The sequence below is a fragment of the Homo sapiens genome, chromosome 8 (genome assembly GCF_000001405.40).
Source record: "Homo sapiens chromosome 8, GRCh38.p14 Primary Assembly".
NCBI classification, from domain to species: domain Eukaryota; kingdom Metazoa; phylum Chordata; class Mammalia; order Primates; family Hominidae; genus Homo; species Homo sapiens.
The window spans coordinates 91,409,529-91,417,825 of record NC_000008.11 but is presented as its reverse complement, the minus strand read 5'-3'; positions in this window follow the sequence as shown (position 1 = coordinate 91,417,825).

The following is an 8,297-nucleotide window of genomic DNA, read 5'->3' as shown; positions in this document are numbered from 1 at the left end:
TAGGCAAGGAAATCAAGAAGAAATTATGCTGCAATGAGAAATAAATTGTAGCAAAACAAAAACTTACATACTATCAAAAGCAGTAATTCCTTATACAAAAAGATTATTTCAAAATGGAAATCATGAATAGGTATTTGGTTTGTTTGAGAATCCCATTTATGAAAAAGAGCAAGTCACATTAAAACACTGGAAAAAAAGGATTTAAATTACCTGTTAATTTGCCAAACATGAATAGAGACAATGATGATAAAATAATTACTACACCAAAGACATTGACAAACTGGTTAATACCATTTGTCAATTCAAAGATCATTGAAGAGCAGTCATTGCACAAGAAAACTTGAAATGCTCTGAAATAGCCAAGCTAATTACATGGAAGAAATTTTAATGGAGGTTTTCACAATTTTGACAAGCATCTTAAGTGTTCATATGATATTACAAATGCCAAATTAGGAATCTAAAAGATTTTCAAAATTACCAATAAAAAATACAAATTTATACAGCCATGCTAAAGGAAATAGTTTTTTTTAATTTTCCTTTTAACAAATGTTATATAATTGTTATATGAAGAAGTGAACAAAGAGTATGCAGGGAAAAAAAACATGTTTCTAAAAATAGTATGGAAGTGAATCTAGAAGTTAATTCATTAAAAATAATTATTTTTCTGAATTTGGGGGCATTTGTGATACTTGTCAGCTTTTTGAAATATAATTTATTTAACATTTTCTTCATTCTAAATATTTATTTTGCTACATAATTTCATAATCTCTTTCTGACTTAAAGAGGGTATTCTCAATAGTCTAAGCTCCAGATCTCAAAGAGCCTAGACCTGCTTTTCCCTTACTCAAATTGTAAGGGAAAGTATTCACTTACTGAGCTCAGTAAATTCAATCAACCAGGCTGGCCCGGGGTACCACTGTGTGCACAGTCAGAATTTATCTCATATCATTAAAACTCCTACTTCCTATTTTAGGCAGTAACTTGTAATTGAAGTGCTCAGAACTTTCCTGTTTTCAGCACAGAAATTAGAGATTCTCCAAAACCAATCTGAAAATATCCTTATTGGTTCAGAGGAATCCACCATTGCTTTTTCCCACAGTACATTTTAGTACCTGGTTTTTGTTTTTCTGTAAATTTGTAGCCTAAATATAACAGAGCCCCAATAGATGTTCATTCACATATTAATCATTTGCATATATTTAGAAGATTTGATGGTAAGTAAAGTTTCATGAATTTAATCAGAATGATTTTGTAGAACCACCTGGTTTTCTTTATTTACTGTAGTGATTTTATTGTTGTCGAGCCAGCCAGCAGCATTAAAACTCAAAAACTCTAAACATAACATATCAAATAGGCTCAACAGGACTACTGCATTTCTTCCATCTCAGGCCAACTGGTTCTTCATTTAGCCTAGATTCTACTCATTTATCTACAGCGTCAAGGATTGTGACAAACTACATTCTATTGTATAAAAAAGTGAAGCAAATCAAAGACACCATGAATCAGTTTATTTGAAATAATTTCAACCTTTTCTGGAGTTATCAGGTTATTCACTGGTAGGAACAATCAAGTTTACTTGAAGCATCTTATTTATTAGATATAGCACAAGTCTCACAACATTCAAGCTATGTTCAAGTTATGACTTAAAATCCTGATTTTTATCCCAAATGTATGACTGATGATTTCAGACAGATAATGTGGTGGAATGAAAAGGGTAGAGGAGTCATACCTCAGGAGAGAAGACTATACTTCCAAGAATAAATGTTTTAGTACACAAAATTTATATCAGGAAATAAAGCCAATCATAAGATATTTAAAGCAGTCATTGGTCTTAAGGTGGCTGAATTTAGACATTGGAAGCACTGGACTGAGAATCAGACAGACCTCAGTTCAGAAGTCATCTGACATGGGCAGATTATTGAACCAGCTCAGTGTAACTTTCTTCATGTGTAAAAATGGCATAATAATACTGACCTCATAAGGCTATTGAGACAATAAATGGAAAAAATGTATTTAATACTTGCCAGTAACTGGAAGATATTTTTAACTTGCTCAAATAAGATTTAGACAATGATTTTTTACAAATAAAGGTAGTGTCTATACTGTTATCTATGTAAAATACCTTCTATTGTGTATTATATTTTGTTTGCCAATATACAGTTTTAAAATAATTAGGATAAAAGTTAACTTTTTAGAGGATCTTTCCAAATATATTTGTCAGGGAACAACGTGAACCTCATAGAGGAAGAAAAGAAATAAGTTACAACCGTTGCATAAATGCCCAAAGTAGACAAGACAGTTTATTACTCATAGCACAGCCAACAGCAGGGACATCAGCACAGTGGTCCAGATTCCTGTCTCCAAACCCCATGGGCCCAGATGGATGCCACACACACAGTGGGTTGTACTGCAGCTGAGGAACCCAGAGCCAGGGGTCCAGTAGTTACTGAATTAACAGCAAACAAACCAGTCCCTCTTCACTAGGCAGTGAGCAGTTACATTGCAGTGACGCTGTGGTAACCCTGACTTGCTTAGGGGTCTTTGTGACTATGAAGATTACGTACTATCAGGAGATGAATACAGCTTGCAGTTTACACACATGGCAAGAACATGCAGGGATGCTCAGGGCCCATGTCCAGCTGCTTCCCCTAACGAGGTTAATGTCAATGAAGAAAAATAATCTTCCTTTGAAGTTAAACAGTAACTGAAGATGCTGTTATTCACATACTCTGATTCTGATTTTGATTCAATGACCTGAATTCTCTCCAAAATCTACAACATTCCACTTTACAAATTGAAGTTTCCAAAATGGTGAAGAAACTACTTCTTCCCTTCCCACCTATCCAGAATTATCTAGCTAATAAGCTTTTACAATTTAGTGCAATATTTCAAACTGGAATAAAATTATGTGATACAAACCAAGCATTTCATTTGGGGTGTCATGTTACTCTTTAGCATCTACATATATTTTTTACAGATATTCCCGCCTCCATCTTCTACTCAGCCACAGGAGGACATGCTGAGAGATAACACAAAAATACAAAAATCTAGTAACAACATACAAAGTATTAGCAGTTCTAAAATAAGTAGGTTGATTTTAGGTTCTCCCATCGCCTGAGACTTGTAAGTTGTTAACAACCAGAAAATATAGTTTTGTTTGTTTGTTTGTTTCTGCAAAGGTACAAGATAACATAATTTTAAACTTCTACAAAGCAAAAAATTAAAGAGTTTGTAGGATTATGCTAAATACCATTTAACACCATAGATTTTCAAAAGATTAACTGCTTGATACGATGTTAAATATACTTGAATGTGGTCCCACATCTCTGTGCCACTTTGCCAAGTTTCCGTCGGATGTGATTTGCAACAAGCAACATATTAAACCCCCATAAATAGTCATTATAATGTAAACACTGAACACTCCTTATTGTAGCGTGAAAGCGCCTCTCCAAAATATATAAAACAGAAAACAAATCCTTGAATTCCATGTCAGGGCAGAAGGTGGATTTGAATTTGAAGAGATGCCAAATGGTAATTTCGGGCACAAATATTTCAGACAAAGCTGATCTATTATGAGTAATAACAGCATATGTTACTTTATAAGTCAGTTTGCATATGTCACAGGAAGCACACCCAATTAGCATGTGAGGCCATTTGCACTTCAGCTAAGTTATTAACAGTAAATCATAACAAAGTAGGTAGTTAGAATTATACATACTATTTGAAATATACATGAAAATCTCACACAAAAGCAGTAAAAGAGAGAAAAAGAGACTCTTGAATGAATTAAATCAGCAAATTAGCTTTACTTCTATTCGTTCCCACTCTTATTATTATTATTATTTCTGCTTTCTTTTCACATAGGCAGTTGCTATGGCTTTTGACAGTTTCCTTTTAGCTAGCTAAGCCTGGGAGGATTAAAGAAGACATTTGGCCTTTATGGTTTTCTGTGTCTGAATGTGTATGTCCCGAGGAGAAAAGGAACTGTGCAAGAAGCTATTAAGCACCGATGAGCGAGCACCGATTTGGAATGTCTGAGTTATGTTCACTGAAACAGATGTTGTGTCCCAGAATTCCCTGAGCTGCCTCAGGGTTTTGCTGGTGTCAACCCTGTGGTAAATGGGTTTTCATAATGAATTTACTGTTAATTCTCTCTCACACACACAAACCATTAGAATCACATTAAAGAGCTGACTAAATGCCACCAAGACTCAGAGCATGACTGTCTTTTGTTCACTTCTGAAGAAGCTCTGAGAGTCCAGAATCTCAAATCAATCATTCATGATCATTTGGGGAGAGTAACGCCTCCCAGTGGCTGGAGAGGGGCAGACACATTTGTGGGGGCGGTTCCCAGACCCCACTCACTAGGGCAAGACTCCGATGTTCTTCTAGATAATCGTAGTAAAAATTATTGCTCTTGATACCAAATGTGGAGTATTTTAGTGAACTGACCCAATTTTTAAATTATTTTATTTAAACATTTCTCTTTTAAAAAATGTTTTAGTAAATAAAAGGATCAGAAAGCTTTGAAGTAAATGAAGTAAATATATTCAAGATACAAGTATTCCAGATGAACCACTAGTCATGGGTGGAATATCTAGAGAATACAACAGCTGAATATTTGTGCTCTGAAAGTAAGAATAAAAGCAACAGGGAGAGTCCTGAAGACTGTGACAGAAACAAAGATGGAACAGAGCACTAACAGGAGGCACCTGAAGTGTGATCTGCTTTTCAAAAAATAGCAGTGCCACTAGTACTGCTAAAATAACAATAAAAATAATAGGAGATACTATTGGTTGACATCTACTATGTTTCAAGCACTATATTAAATTTTTTACATATTACCTCATCTCATCTCTTCCTCATATAAATCACCAGAATAAAAGCCACTGCCTTTTGTAAATGGTTCCTCTGTACCAATCCCTGTTCTCACCCTTCTGTTCCCCTGTAGTACTCACTGTCCCCAAGCCATGCTGTGGTCCTTTCAGCATTTGAACACCTGAGTTCTTTCCTGCTTCTGAAATTTTGTGCATGAAATTTCCTCTCTTGGAGTCCTCTCATGCCTGCTTCCTCTACCCTAACATGGCTTTTTTGTTTGGGTGTCTTCCTCTTATCCATAGTGTCTCACTTTTAAACTTCCTGCTCCAAGAAGGCTTCCTGAGCAGCTTACCCAGAGTTAGTTCCCAACTGTCTCACCCAGTCTCTCCTCTACTCTCCTATTGGCTGTGTTATTCTCTACCATGGTGGTACCTTGCTTATTTCTTCAGGGCACTTTCTCAATTGGTAAGCATTTATTTGCATGTCTATTTACTTTGTTTTGTCTCTCCATTTTTATATTAAAACATCAAATGCCAGTTTCCAGTTCCTTTTCATTTAGTTATCTATACTAAGCACATAGAAAAGTAGTAGGTACTCAATAAATATTTATTAAACAAAAGAATGCGCTAAGTGCCTTGCATCAATTCTCTTATTTAACAAATAATCCTCCCATGAGTTTTCTGAGGTCAATGGGCTCTTAGCCATACAGGTAGGAAATGCCTAAGGTAAGATCCAAAACCAATTTAGTAGGACTTCAGAGCTGTGATTAGAACCATTATACTCCCACTTTACAGATCCGATATTTATTTAATTTTTTTTAAGACAGAGTCTCACTCTGTTGCCCAGGCTGGAGTGCAATGGCTCAATACCGGCTCACTGCAATCTCTGCCTCCTGGGTTAAAGTGATTCTTCTGCCTAAGTCTCCTGAGTAGCTGGGACTACAGGCCTGTGCCATCACTCCTGGCTAATTTTTGTATTTTTAGTAGAGATGAGGTTTCACCATGTTGGCCAGGCTGGTCTCAAACTCCAGACCTCAAGGGATCTGCCAGCCTCGCCCTCCCAAAGTGCTGGGATTACATGCATGAGCCACCGTGCCCGGCCCTTAATAGATTCTTAATATCAGTTTGATATAGACTTCTTGGGACTAGTTTTTTAGGAATCCATCATGATCTTGGCCAATGCACATCCTTTTGTGCAGCTTCAGTACTACTTTTCTCAAGCATCTATCAGCTACCTTCAGTTTAGCAGCTCTGCAATTTACAGCCAAGTAGATTAAGAAAATAAAAGGCAAAGCCCTCCCCCTAGATATAGAGCTCTCACTGTACACAAGCTTAGGGAATAAAAATCTCACCCTGTTCTAATTTCATTGCTATGGGAAAAGTGTGAAGAAGAAATTCTTAAACAGATTATGATTAAGAATCCTCTGATGATCCAAGATTTTTCTCTCTATATTTGCCATTGTGCTTTGAAACCCAATTATTTCTAGCCTTACGAATCATGACTTTTAGTAATTGGCCTCAGATATAAACCAGTTATATGGATGGGAAAAAGCACACACTATTTTGCTTTAGTAAAATTGTTTATACATTCAACTATTTTGCCTACAGAATAGGTAGGTATATATAGAGATACATATAGAAAAGAAAATGTGGATTTTCCTGCAATGTTAAAAAAAGTGTGCCTAGATGCTTGGACATCTTAAGCAATGTTTAAGACAAACTAAGAGTTATACTTTCTACCTATTTAGTGGCTTTAAGCATAAAATTATACAACTAGAAAAGCACTTAAAATAGTGCTGACACACAGTAAATAACCAAGAATGATAATTTATTATATTTTACTTTTAAATATTTTACGTATTTTGCTATAAAATGTATCAATCACATTACCTAATAACCTAGAAATATGTTCATTTTGTTATATTTTCAATTACTTATGACTTTCAATATTTATTTTGCCTTCTCTTGGAGTTGGTTAAGGTGAAGGAGATAATTGTCTCTAGTCAAATTAAATTGCTAATTTAACAATGCCTTGAATAAGCTGTTTCCCTTTTTAAAATTGTTTTTCTTTAATATATCTTTTAATTAAGTATCATAAAAGGAGTGGGATGCAGTATAGATATCCTGGACAAATAATTTTGCTAAGAAATCCGTGAGATAGGGCAGAGACAACTAATTGTTTAGGTCATAGATTGGGAAGTGGAAGTTATCAGGTAGAGAAAGAAGGCAGGAAAAGACACTTCCGGGCAGTGAGCAAGCTCCTTCACTTACACTTCCCTCCCTCCAGTTTTGCGTCAGCACCTGCTTCACCCAACTCTGAATTGAAGTCAGGGGCTGCAAATGGCTGAAATAAGAAGTTGATGTTTGGGTTGCTGAGATATATCTGTATATGAAGACTTTATCTATATTTATAGCTTTCATCCATTTAACAGGCATGAAGGACAAACTGCTATGTTCCAGGAACAGCTATTTTAGGAACTGACAATAAAGCATTGCACATAGCGGATCTGCCTTCATAGAACTTGCATTTTGATAGGAAAGATCCATGATAAAGATACAGAGGTGTTAGATAGATAATGAATGGAGAGGTAGGTAGATAGATTAGATAGAGACATATAGAATGATTATGTCATTAATAATATCACATTGAATAACCATTATGAAAGCATCAGGAAAATGGATAAAGAGAGTCTGGATATGATTCTGGATATAAGATTGTCTATTAAGCGTTCTCTAGCAGAGTGACAGAAGAAATCTAACTGAAGTTTGGGACCAAGCCATGTGACTTTCTCAGGGAAGAGCTGCTGCTCTGGACCAGATACTTTCATGAAGGAGAAATAAAGACCCATCTTGTTTAAGTCATTTTTTTTCTGGGGCAGTAGAGAGAGGGACTTTTACTTAGAGCTAAACCTGCTCCTAACTGAAAGAATTTTTCCTCCTAACCGTGGATATGCAGTAGGTTAATGGCCACAAACTCCTCCCATTCTAATAAGCATGTTCCTTTAACTGCAACTTTGCAATTCTTCCCATCCAGAGAAGTCCATCCCTGTGTCCCCTTAAATAACTGGGCTGGTGTGTAACTTGGTTTGATCAATAGAATGTGGCAGAAATGACATTCATGAGTGCCAGACGGTGGGCCTCAAAATGCTTTCCAGCTTCTCCATTATGGTGAAAAACCTAAGATAAAATGTCACATGGAGAGAAAGTTCCAGCAACCTTCACCATTACAGCTGAGCCCATCTCTAGCCAATGCTTCAGCTGCATGTAGCTACAAGAATGTGCACGAGTGAGATTACGGAAGATCAAGTCGGCCAAACTACAGAATTCTGAAAGATAATACATTGCCAATTTTAAAGCTACTAAGTTTTGGGGTGGTTTATTACATAGCCATAGATAAGTGATACAGAAACTGGTATTGGTGTGGGGGGCTGACATAAAAACTAGAAACAATGTGGCATTAGTTTTGCTATTGGGCAGCAA